Below are 13,429 nucleotides of genomic sequence, written 5' to 3' on the forward strand. Positions count from 1 at the left end.
ATGTCTCTCTCTCTCTCTCTCTCTCTGTCTGCAGATTCCAGCAGTGGCTCTTCTCCTCACCCTTTTTGGGCTATGGTGGTAAGAGATACCCAATGGTAACAGCTCTGGGAAAATGCTAACCCATTTTTTTCTGGAGTTCTCTTTAGCCCTTATGTCAATTATCCCACAATAGGCAGATGCTACATAGCAACGTTTGGGTCAGTGACGAATTGCGTATAGAACGGTGGTCTCCTGAGATGACAATAGTGTATTTATGCTGTACCTTTTCTATGTTTAGATGTGTATAGATGCACAAATACTTGCCGTGGTGTTACGATGCCTGCAGTATTCACACCATAACATGCACTGCAGGCTTGTAGCCTAGGAGCAGTCAACTCTACCATCCATCCTGGGTGTGTATTGGGCTGTACCATCTGGGTTGGTGTAAGTGCACTCTACAATGTTCCTTTCGTGATAAAATCACCTAACGACACATTTCTAACGACACGTCCCTGTCGTAAAGCAATGCATGACTATACTAACCTCTCCTGCAGTCGCTCAGATGGGGCCAGCCCCCTGTTTGTGCTAGGGCCCTGGCTGCTAGGCTGGAAGCCTCATACATCTCAGTGCATCTTCCCCTCCCAGGTCATGGTGATGCCCAAATACGTTTGGCTGGAGCACCCTGAAGTCTCTGCTACCATCCAAGCTGGTTTGGAGACATGAACCAGACCAATGAAGGGCAGGCTTTGGATGGCCATTTTCTCATTAGGTTCCTCTCCTCCACCATGCTAGATCCCTGGGCGTCCTGCTGTCCCCTTACATGGAGAAATCCCAGCACTGGGAGAAAGCACAGGGTCTTTATTATCAGACACATGCAGCCACTCCTCCAGTGTCCCCTCTCCCACAGGGCAAGTCCGGCTGCTCCAGGCTCTCCCCAGTGTTGCTATTAGGTGAGTAGATATGAATGATTATGTGTGGGGAAGATGATTCATGGACAGGATGGGGAAATAATCTGGTGTCCAAGGCCATTAGGTTACAAGCACAAGGGACGGTTGAGTGTGGTGGTGAGCAGCGGTGAAGAATCGTGGGGGAAATGGAGTTAGCAGGAAGGGCAAACCGCTCCCCACCACAGCGCTGGGGCCAGTGCCAGCCCCACCCCCCAAGTGAGACACTCCAGGCCCCCAGCCCCACCTCCCTCATGCTGAGAGGCAGGAGGCGGCTCATCACCCTTCTCACACACAGAGAAGATCCCAATTTGTCTGGTGTGGTTCAACAAGGAGCTGGAAGGTTGGGCCACACAGCCCTGAATGCTCATTCTGGTGGTCAGCCCACCTAGAGGGAGAAGACCAAGTCAGAAAGGACACAGAGTACAGCCCAGCCAAATTCATAAACCCAGGAGTCCAGGCCCCAGACCCTCCTCCCTCAAACGCAGGAGCTCAGACCCCCAGCCCCTCCTACCTCAGACCCAGGAGTCCAGGCCCCCAGCCCCTTCTCCCTCAGTCCCAGGAGCCCAGGACACCAGCGCCTTCATCCTTGGGGCCCTGCTTGCAGCACTCACCTCCTGAGAGATGAATGTACCCATCATAACAATGAGTGGCGCCCCTGGGGCAGGTCATTCGGGGGGAGCCACTTGAACAGGTTCCAAGGGGCTGCACACAGGTAGGACACTGCCGGTCTCCTGGGACAGGGGCAGCTGGGGAGCAGAGGGAAGGTGGGGGTACATGACTTTGTGCTCAGAGCAGCTGCCCACCTTGGGCCAGAGTCTCTGTGTGTCTGGGCCTCATTTCTCCACGGCCCTGGATCCCATACCTTGAGGAGGGAGGGAGTTCAGCAGAACGCTGCTGCTGCTGGCACTATTGCACAGGTCCGAGGAGCAGAAGTGGGTATAGGAGGCCACAAGCACCCCAGGAGGGGCTGAGTGGATGGTGGTCTTCTGGGAATTTTGAGCCCCAACAGCGCTGCAGCTTTAGGTCGCCACCAGGGTTGATGTGAGTCCTGAGGGTGAGAGGGAAAGCTGGGCTGGGGACTGGGCAGCTCCCAGGGCAGCAGGGGCTCCAGAGCTGGACTCCCTGCCCTTCACAATACCCCCCAGGCAGAGGGTGAATGCCCTGATCACAACTGCTGGGTCATGTTTAGTGTGGGGCAAAGACGGAGGCTGGGGCCTGGGTCCTGCCCGAAGCTCTGCCTCCTCCCAGTTCTCGCTCAAACGTCACCTTCTCCATGAGTCTCCCCTGAGCACTGAGCTTAAAATTGCAGCCTTCCCCTCACTTTTCCTATCTCCTTTTCCTTGCCAGATTTCTCTCCAGAGCTGGGATCTCCATTCCCCATACTTTGCTGCTTTTTGTTTGTTTGTTTCCTGTTTCTCAAGGCATATAAAGCTGCAGGAATACAGATGGGATTGGATCTGCGGCACCTAAAACAAATGCTGGATAAACATTTCCAGAATGTATGAAGCCACTGAGAGTCCTCGGTGTTGGCACGGTTCTCCACCCTGGGCAGGGATTACCGCATACGTGGTCACCCCTCCCCAGAAAGGCAGACACTGTCATTCCCACTGCTTCACCCCCAGTTTTCATAAGGGGAACCCAAGATGCAGAGAGAAGAAGAGTCGGATTGAAAATTGCAGATGTGAAGGGAGCTGAGCAGGAAATTCAGGGGAAAGAATCCAGTGGGGTGGAGGGAGCTGCCAGGGACTTGGGACAGGTGTTCGTCTTCTACCTCAGTCCACGTACCTACATCTATGAGCAGCAGCATCTCCTGACACACCTGCCCCACCTCGCACGTCTCGGTATTAGATGTGGCCCAATCAGTGGGTTCTTTACTCAAGTTTTCCTGCTTCTTCAAGGTGGTCCCCCGATGACAGGTCAGAACATCTGGGGAGAGGAAACCCAGGGTCTGTGTAAGCCAGGAACCCACCATGTCTGTCCCTCCACGTCCTGGGCTAGGGAAGGTGATCATGCTCTTGAGTCACACTCCAGGTGACCTGGCCACGGAGTCCCTCAACCACGGATTCAGAAGGGACTTGGGAGTCCAAACCCCACCCCCATTGTTCCCTGTTTCTGCTTGAACACCCGCAGGGACGTCCTCTCACAGCCCTGTGAGAACAGCCATTCCTTGCTTCAGCTGTGAGAGCAATGGAAGCTCTTCCTGAGCCTCTGCCCATCTCTGCTTCCCCATCTGAGCTTTAAGGTCCTCATTTCAATAATAAGGAAGGCAGCCTGAGACCTTTCTCATACCTTTCAGTTGCAAAGCCCTATGTTCCAAACAAGATGCGAAGGGCCAGGGTGGGCTGAGCACTGCCGCTGAGCACTGCCTCTGCACCTGGCTGACCTCATTGCTTCCCACAGATCCACCCATCTAAGGTTCCAGGGAACACAGCTTATCTGGGATGCCTCATTTCCCCACAGCACCCCAGCAGTAGGTGGTGTGATCACAATCAACACCCTCATTTGCAACAAGGGAAACAGAGGCAGGATTGCTCAGTAGCTGCCCATGCCACACAGCTTGTGAGTGGCAGAGGTAGGCTGGGAACCCAGGGACTCTGGACCCTCAGGGTCGGGGTTGGGAGCAGGAGGGAGACAGGTACTGAAGACCATCCTCGGCTACCTTGGCCCCGAGGCCCTCAAGGCTCTAGTGTGAAACCACAGCCCCTGGCCTCCCCTCACGGCCATCACAGAGCAGGGGGGATCGGTCCCATGATGCAGGGACTCTTAGACTGAGCCCCCAGCTTCCACCAACACATGCGACCTGCAGAACCGATGCCACCCTGGAGGGCTGCTCATTTGCATACTTCACAGATGACAAAATCAAAATCATGGCTCCTGCTCCCTTCTCCCACCCTTCTCTCCCCACTCCCATCTCCCCTACTTACACCCGTGGCGGCTCGTTTCTGCCAGTCTAGCTGAACACATTGGTGTTGTCCTTGACCACGCTCTTTCTCTCCCACATTGTGTTCCTCAAGTAATCCTACTGGCTTGAGCTGCAGAAAATCTTCAAAACCCAACCCCACGTCACCACCTCTGCTGCCTCCAAGCCCCCCGCTTCACTCCCACCTGACTCCTGGGGCAATCCCTGCACCCGCCTGTCACTGTTCCTCTCGCTCCATTCTCCACCCAGCAGGCAGAGGGAGGCTAGGTAAACCTAAGTCAGTTCATGTCACTCCTCTGCTCCGAAGACTCCAGGAGGTCCCCATTCTGGAGAATAAAATTCTAAGCCCTTCCAATGGCCCGGGAGGCCTGATAAGACGCGGCCGCCTCCCTGCTCCCTCCATCACTCTGCTCCGCACAGGTGTTTCTGGCAGGCACTCACCCACATCATGGTCTTTGCATCTGCTTCCGTCCCATGTCTGCAACCATCCCCTCCTCTTCCCCAAATCCAGGGAAAGAGGCTCCATGAGATATGGAGACTTTTGATCCTCGTGTGAAGCTGAGGCTGGAAAGCTGTTTCGGCGGCAGAGCTGGGCCTGGGACCCACGTGTCCCTGATTCAGACGTGGGCTCTTCCCTGCTCTCTCACTGGGACCGCTGCCCAGCTCCTCTAGGGGCAGCCAGGGCCTTATCTGCCCGGGCCCCTTGGTTCTTCACAAGGGGCTGCTGCCATGGCCCCTTTTAGTAACCTGCATCCTTGCACCCAGCCCTCCCACTGCTGCGGCTTCTTATAAGCGGTTCCATCACCCTGAAGCCTCTTCTCTCCTGCACTTGGTCCCCAACGTCTTGTTGTTCCCCCAGTTTCTGATGCCTGGTCTTGTGATGCTCACTGTCTGCTAAACTGCTGAACTGCACTTCACCAGGGAGGCAAAACAGCCTGCAAGATCTGGCTCCAGTGTTGAAAGCAGAAGATGAATCTCTATGAACAGCACTGATTGGTGCATAGTCGCTGTGTTTTATGTGGTGCGTTTGTGTAGTGTGTGCACATGCGTGATGTGTGCAGGTATGTGTGCTGTGTGTGAGTGCGTAGTATACATGTGGGGGGTGTGGTTGTATGGGGTGTGTGGTGTGTTCATGGTATGTTTGTGTGGTGCGTGCATGTGTAGACATACTGTGTGTGATATATGTGGTATGTGTTTGTTTTGTGTGTTTGGTGTGGTGTGTGTTCTGTGTATCTGTGTTTTGCTTGCATGTGGTGTGTGTGGCATGCCAGATGTGTTGTGTGTATTGTGTGTTGTGTGTGGTATGTATTGCATGTCTGATATGTTGAGAGGGAGAGTGTGTGTGGTACCTGACGTGTAGTATGTGGCATACACACTACATGTACACGTAGTAATTGTGCACTCGTGTGATGCATTTGTGTGTGTTGTGCATATTGTGTGCTCTGTGTGTGATTTGTGTTCCATAGGTGGTATGTCAGGGGTATGGGGGAGTGTGTGTGTGGTATGTGATGTGTGGTGTGTATGTGTCATGGTGTGACGCATTCGTGTCTGCTGTGCTTATTGTGGGCTGTGTGTGTGGCATGTGTTGCGTCTGATTTGTTTCTGAAATACCTTCTGGGTTATCAGTGTCATCTGGTCCCAGAGACCAGGGCCAGATCCTTAACAGCAGCATCAGTCAAAAGGAAAGATAAATGGCTCAGACCCTGCCCTCCCTGCTCCACAATCTTCCATGGCTCCCCTGCCTTCAGGAGAGGGTCCACCCCTCAGCCTGGGTTTTCAGGTACTTGAGCGACCACCAGGTTCCCCACTTAACTCTTCCTCCCCCACCAGTATCCATTCTGAAGGCATGCCAGTTCATTTCCTCCTCAGCCTCACACCTGCTGTGCCTTTGGCTTGGAGCAGCTCCCTCTTCGACCCCACACCCACCTTGTCCACCTGGAAAACTTCGAATCACCCCCAATCCCAGCTGTACCCCCTCATCTTGATGAGTCCTTCTCAGGTGGAGTGAGGGACTCTTCTTGAAAACAGCAGGCTCACTCCCACCTCCAGGCCTATGCAGCTGCTACACACTGTTCCCTCTGCCACCAATGTCCTCTTCCTCTTCTACCAATAAGCTGTAGGTCATCTTTAACACACGGTTCACAGGCCACCTCCTCTGTAAAGCCCTCCTTGACTCTCTACCCCAACAACATCAGTATTTTCCTCCTCTGAGCTGCCCCAGGCCCCACATCCCCGTTTGCCACAGCCCTGATCACCTCAAGCTGTGACCATCTGTGTCTGTAGCACCTCCCCCTCCTAGTCCTGGAGGCCCTTCAGGTAGAAACAGGGTCTGACTCATGAGGGAGCTTTGCTCAAGTGAGCCCTGCATGTCCTCACTTGAGCAAACACCTCCTGGTACCCTTCCTGAGCCGTCTCCTGAGCTACCCAAGGCTGGAAACCCTGGTGCCAGTGGTACCAAGCCCCTAGCCTCAGGCTCCCAGCCTAGCTAGGGAGAAACAGCCAAATACACAGAGGAATGTGTGCAGAGCTCACACAACTCTCTCTTCTAAGCTCTAAGGGTTAGCGTGATGTGGGCAGACAAGGAAACTGAGGCAGGGGCAGGGAAGACTTTGCTTCTAGGAGGGAAGCTGGGATTCCTATAAGACCCCCACCTCCCCACCATGGCTTCCTGTTGCTTTGGAGCCCTTCTTATGGAGACATTCCCTGGCACTCTCTTCCATGGCAGCACCTAAATGGGTAAGTGGGGACCCTCTCAGTGTCCTCCTTTAACTCTTGCTTTCTCTGTCACACCCAAAGTCCCCTTGATTTTCTCTCTGATGTTCTCTCCTGTGCAGGCAAGGCTGCTGGGGCACTCCAGCACCATGAGCGGGGCGGGGGCTGATACGGGTGGGAGAGAGGCTACGGTGGCCTAGGGAAGTGGGAGACCTAGGGTTACCCAAGGCCAGGGGTGTGGAGACACAGAAATTGAAGCAACCAGTCACTCTCAGCAGCTTGAGAGCCAGCAGGGGCCCCAGCACTCACTGTTGCCTAAAGCCACATGCCAAGCAACCCACCCTGCACCCTTGACCTTCCTCCTGCTGGCTTTGGTGTGATGGCTCTGGATGCCCCATGTGTCATCGTGCCCCGAGGCTGCAGTCCAGGGCACAGCCTAGGGGCAGGACTCACCTTTCATATCGCAGTTCTCAGTCATACCCACGGGCCCAATTTCCTGTGTCCCATTGAGCAGGTTGCAAACTGGCTGGGGCATGCATCCCTGGACTCTCAGATTGGAGAAGATGCCTCCTGCAGAAAGGGGGAGCGAGGGAGAGTCAGTGATGCTGCCTCCAGGACCACCCAACCCTCAGAGGCAGGCATAGCTCCAGGAAGCCAGGCCCACCATCCTCTGGGTCTCATGCCGTGCCTCAGCTCACCCTCACTCCCCAAAGACTAAGATCTCAGTCCCCAGACCTTCCAGTTCAGTCCCCGCAGGGACCCCGATGTCCCAGGCTTACCTCCCCTGAGCCTGAGGAGGCCATCATAACAGTGTGTGGTCCCCTTGGGGCAGATCTCTTCTGTTGTCCCCTCCAGACAGCCTTCCATAGACAAGCAGACTGGGCACCTCAAGGATCCTGGGTCTAGGGAAGTGACAGACAGAGTGAGGGGGCACTGAGACGGCACTGGATTTGATCAGATACCTTCTCTGCACCCCACTTTTGCTGGCCTCAGGAGTCAACCTGCTCAGCCTTCCCAAAGGGGCCTTCTGCAGCTCCCATCATGGGATCTGGATGTGGGAAAATAAGTGTAACCCATGAAAGAGGAAGGCAGAGAGATCAGGAGGTCTGGGTAGAGGCACCCAGGGCTGGGTACAGAAAGTGGTCTTGGCTGGGTGTGGTGGCTCACACCTGTAATCCCAGCACTTTGGGAGGCTGAGGCAGATGGATCACGAGGTCAGGAATTCAAGACCAGCCTGGCCAACATAGTGAAACTCTGTCTCTACTAAAAATACAAAAATTAGCCGGGCGTGGTGGTGGGCTCCTCCAGTTCCAGCTACTTGGGACGCTGAGGCAGGAGAATCGCTTGAACCTGGGAGTCGGAGGTTGCAGTGAGCCGAGATTGCGCCACTGCACTCTAGCCTGGTCAACACAGCGAGACGCTTTCTCAGAAAAAAAAAAGGGAGGGGTCTTGGGGGGCAAGTGGGGGTGGGGGGTGGGCAGGGTGGAGGAGGGGCCTGCTGAGGCCAAATGTAGACTCAGACATGGTCAAGTCTGAACCTTTCAACAAAGTCTGGCCTTCCGAGGGGAGACACAGAAGCAGACTCATTGGTCAAGGGAATGAGGGGGTGCCCTGGAACGAGCCAGTGCCTTCACCTGCAAGTGCTACTAAGCCTCCAAGAACAGGAGACTTCTGTGTTCACAAGCTGTTCCAATAAAAGAAGCGCAAAATATCTCCCTAGACTCTTTATAACACCAGACAAGGAAAGTGGAAAGTTACAGTTCAGTCTCCCTTAGGAAGAGGAAACAGCAAAAACCCTGCAGGAGAACTTCTTGAACCAAACGCAACAGAATAGAAAAGGAATGCAGGATAACCCAGTTAATGGTAATTTCATATCAGAAATCCGTCCTGTTTGCTCTTAGAAGAGGAGGGGTGCGGGGATTCCCGGGTGGCCGAGGTCGGTGGGAGGGATCGGGAGTGAGTGGGGAGGGATGGAAAGGAAGGGGGGCGGGGCGGCTGCCAGGGAGCAGTCAGGGGAGGGATGGAGCGAGCGAGGGGCACGATAGCGAGCGAGGGTGGGAGGGAGCTGAAGAGGTAAAGAGGGTGCTGTCCCTGTGGCAAGGGTCTCCCATTGTTCAAGGGCAATTCTCTAGAGAAGGGGCACCTGTGAGATGTTTTCAGCCAACACCAGCTGGCCAAGGGGATGTGGGTAGGATATGCCTTATCCACTCCAGAGCTGGAGACACACTGGATTCCAGGGGCCAGTTCCTAACCACTACACCATGCCTGGATGCATGTGTGTCACTTAATTTCATAACGTGAACAGAGTAAAAACAATGATAAACACAACTGTTATTACTGATGCCACAGAGCGCCCCAGTTAACAGCTCCAAGGCATTCACCTGCAGCACTGCCGGTACTGGGTTTTCTGTTTTTTTTTCTTCTCTTTTCTTTGCTGTTAGGTGCAACAATCGCAGAAATTCCTTCCTCATCTTGGTCTTGTAGAAGAGGATGCAGGAGCTGAGAGAGGGGAATGAGCTTGACCAAGATCTCTGAGTCAAGCTGTGGTCAAGCTAGAATCAAGTCTGGGCCCCTCAGCCCCCTGCTTGCGGGGAGAGAGGGGTTGGGAGGGACAAGAACCTCTGATCCCATGTGTCCTCAAAGCAGTCCAAGGGCTCTCTGTTTCTTTTTGTTCCTTTTGTTTCTCCTTCTTGAGCAGCCAACGTGTTCCCTAAGTTTGAGAAGCCCAGAGAGTGCCAGAATTTGCTTCCAATGTTTACCTACCAAGGACAAAGCCAGATTCTGGAGCACCTGGGTGGGGCTTTTTCCATGGAGATAAAGACTCCCCTGTTGAGTACAAATATTTCCTCCATGAAGATACTCTTGAAAACACACTCTCCCCACTGAGACTTCTCTTCATGATATCCGAAATGAGTATTTCCCCTGGGGGTTTCCCCAGCTCTGATCCTTACCTCTGTCTCTGTCCTACTAATCACCTGGGCTGTGACTGTCTCCGTCTGTCTCTCAATCTCAAATTCCTGAACAGGACCTCACACAGGGTCTGGTCCACACAGGAGGGTCAGGGAGGGTCAAGGACCTCCTATCCTACCTAACTTCAAAGCATTCCACCAGCTATTTCTTTTTATTCCCTAAATTTTTTTTTAAGACAGAGTCTTGTTCTGTCACCCAGGCTGGAGTGCAGTGGCATGATCTCAGCTCACTGCAACCTCTGCCTGCTGGGTTCAAGAGATTCCCCTGCCTCACCCTCCTGAGTAGCTGGGATTACAGGCATGCGCCACCATGCCCAGCTAATTTTTGTATTTTCAATAGAGACAGGGTTTCATCATGTTGTTCAGGCTGGTCTCAAACTCCTGACCTGCGGTGTTTTCATTTTGAAAACTTTCAGGCTGGGCACGGTGACTCACGCCAGTAATCCTAGCACTTTGGGAGGTCAAGGCGGGTGGATCTATTGAAGTCAGGAGTTTGAAACCAACCTGGACAACATGGTGAAACCCCATCTCTACTTAAAAAAAAAAAATACAAAAATTAGCCCGGTGTAGTGGCAGCCACCTGTAGTCCCAGCTACTCCGGAGGCTGAGACAGGAGAATCGCTTGAACCCAAGAGGCAGAGGTTGCAGTGAGCCGAGATTGCGCCATTGCACTCCAGCCTGGATGACAGAGTAAGACTCCGTCTCAAAAAAAAAGAAAGAAAAATTTCAAACCTGCAGAAAAGCTGCAAGGATAGTACAGTAAACACAAGTATCCCCTTCACTGGATTCACCCACTCTTCACATTTTACTGTATTTGTTTATACGCACACGACACATGCTTTTAAAATATTCTTAAATTTTAAAAACAAGGAGTAGACATTGTAACTCTCACCACTAAGTGCTTCGGCAAAAACCTTCTTAAGATTATTCTTAAGGGGGCTGGGCACAGTGACTCACACCTGTAATCCCAGCACTTTGGAAGGATCACTTTAAGTCAGGAATTCAAGACCAGCCTGACCAACATGGTGAAACCCCGTCTCTACTAAAATATAAAAATTATCTGGACATGATGACACACAACTGTAATCCCAGCTACTTGGGAGGCTGAGGCAGGAGAATCACTTGAAGCTGGTGGTGGAGGTTGCAGCAGTGAGCCTAGATCACACCACTGCACTCCAACCTGGGTGACAGAGCCAGGCTCCATCACAAAAAATAAATAAATAAAATTTTTCTAAAAGTATAGATTATTCTTTTTTTCTCTTTCCCTCTTTTTTTTAGGTGCAGTTTTGCTCTCTCACCCAAGCTGGAGTGAAGTGTCGTGATCTCTGCTCACTGCAACCTCCGCCCCCTGGGTTCAAGCAATTCTCCTGTCCCAGCCTCCTGAGTAGCTGGGATTACAGGCGCCTGCCACCACGTCCGGCTAATTTTTGTATTTATAGTAGAGACAGGGTTTCACCATGTTGACCAGGCTGGTCCTGAGCTCTTGACCTCAGGTGATCCACCTGCCTCGGCCTCCCAAAGTGCTAGGATTACAGATGTGAGCCACCACGCCCAGCCTATATAGATTATTCTTAAGGACTTTGTCCTACGTAACCACAGACCAGGATCAGACCCGTGTAGTTTACACAGATGCACTGCTGTCTAATAGGAAGCCCATTTCCAGTTTTCCTCTGTTGTCCCAATGACATCTCTCATTGCGTTTTTGCTTTCTGATCAGGAGAACATCCGGGGTCAAGCATGAACTGCACTGTGTTGTCTTTATGAAAGAGAAACAAAAACTCAGGACCCCAATTCACTGTGACAGAAGGAAAAAAAAAAACTGGAAGCTGAGTCATGCAAGAAACTGCCTTTCCTTTTGTTCCTAAGCAGACAGCTACAGAGAAACGGCTAAGTATTTCCTTAGGTAGCTACTCCATGTTCACCTTATCTTTTTTAAAAAAATTTTTTAATTATTATTTTTTTTGAGACAGTGTCATACTTTGTCTCCCAGGCTGGGGTGCAGTGGCACAATCTTCGCTCACTGCGACCTCTGTCTCCCGGGCTCAAGTCATTCTGTCACCTCAGCCTCCCGAGTAGCTGGGACTACAGGCACCCACCACCACACCCAGCTAATTTTTGTGTTTTTGTAGAGATGGGTTTTGCCATGTTGTCCATGCTGGTCTCAAATTCCTGGGCTGATGAGATCCTCCCACCTCAGCCTTTCAAAGTGCTGGGATTACAGGTGTGAGCCACCACGCCCGGCCATATTCACCTTATCTTTCTCAAGGTGCCAATTTACCCAGCGTGAGATGAATACGTGATTGATTATTCCCCTACCTCCTGCTTTCTCTTACACCATGTGGATTCAGTAATGCGACCACACCCTCCTTCTTTCACCGCCAGCCAGCTTTTCCACCCTAAATATTGAAGCCCTCAAAATTATCTTTGGAAAAAGGCACAGACCACAGACTGTTTCTATGATTGCATGGTTTTTTTCTATGTCCTTAACCTTGGCAAAATAAGCTTCTAAGTTGATGGAGACCTGTCTCAGATACCTTTTGGTTTACATCTCATCTCTGGACTCCCCTTTAATCTAGGAGTGCTCCCCAACTGCCTTTCATTTTCTTTAATGTCATTGAAAGCAATGGTTCACTTTTTTTTTTTTTTTGTAAAGTCTTCCACCACCTGGATGTGCCTGACTCAGACTATGATTAGAGTAGTTTTAATGATTTTTGGCAATATTCTTCTAGCTGGGTGTGGTGTGTCACATTCAGAAGGCCTTTAATGCCTGTTTGTCAAATTCTTGGCTAATTAACAACTGCTGTGTGAGGTAAGCCATGGAGGAGGCCGTGTGAATGTCCTATTCCCCACCACGAGATCCTTCTGTCTCCTTGCACACATTGTGCCCAAGCTACTTCCAGAAAATCCTCTGTGATCACGGCAAATCACATAATGTTTTTGGTCCAGCTCCCCTGCTGCCCTCCTATCCACTCTTCTGCCCATTACAGGAAGCCTTTACACCCAGGCAGCTCAGCGTCCAGAGCTGGTTCCACTCATCCCCTTCAAGGAGAGGAAAACTGAGCCCTGGGAAGGAGAAGTAAAGCTGGAGTCACAAAGCCAGGAAATGGTGGCCAGGGGCACGACCCAGGCCTTATAAACAACCTGCACTCTTCCCCCTGCAACACAGCCTGCTGAGGACGCTCATCAGTCATCTCAGTGGTTCACTTCCAATCTCCTCATCTGCCAAGCACCCAGCATGTTCCAGCAAAGACAAATTATTCCTATGGCAAACTGACCTGCATGCAGTTTACAGGACTTTATGTTATAAAGAGGAGGGATCTATGGCACTTAATGAAAAGTTACACTTAAAGATTTTCATAGGCCTGGCTGGGTGTGGTGTCTCATGCCTGTAATCCCAGCACTTTGGGAGGCAGAGGCGGGTGGATCACCTGAGGTCAGGAGTTTGAGACCAGCCTGGCCAACATGGTGAAACCCTGTCTCTACTAAAAATACAAAACTTAGCCGGGCATGATGGCATGTGCCTGTAATCCCAGCTACTCGGCTGGGGCAGGAGAATGGCTTGAACCCGGGGGGCGGAGGTTGCAGTGAGCTGAGATTGTGCCATTGCACTCCAGCCTGGGCGACAGAGTGAGACTCCATCTCAAAAATAAAAGAAAGGATCTTTACAGGCCTTCGTGTACTGACCAGAGGAGCAAAAATGAATAAAAGGATTACAACATGAGGCTGGCATTGCTGTGCACCTATATCCTTGAGTGCTGGTGGCCCCATGGATTAGATCAACACCTTGAAAGCTAATTTGACACTAGACCAACAAAGTCCTTTGACCTGGAGTTCCACTTTGGCAAAAAATAATAATAAATAAATAAATAAAATCCCTAAAGTGTATAAAGAGAAAGGAAGTT

The 13,429-nt window shown here is 51.8% G+C and overlaps 1 pseudogene; it reads right to left on the reverse strand.

Moving 5' to 3' along the window:
* CD177P1 (CD177 molecule pseudogene 1) lies at positions 228-7,462 on the reverse strand (annotated as a pseudogene).

The sequence above is a fragment of the Homo sapiens genome, chromosome 19 (assembly GCF_000001405.40).
Source record: "Homo sapiens chromosome 19, GRCh38.p14 Primary Assembly".
Taxonomy (NCBI): Eukaryota; Metazoa; Chordata; class Mammalia; order Primates; family Hominidae; genus Homo; species Homo sapiens.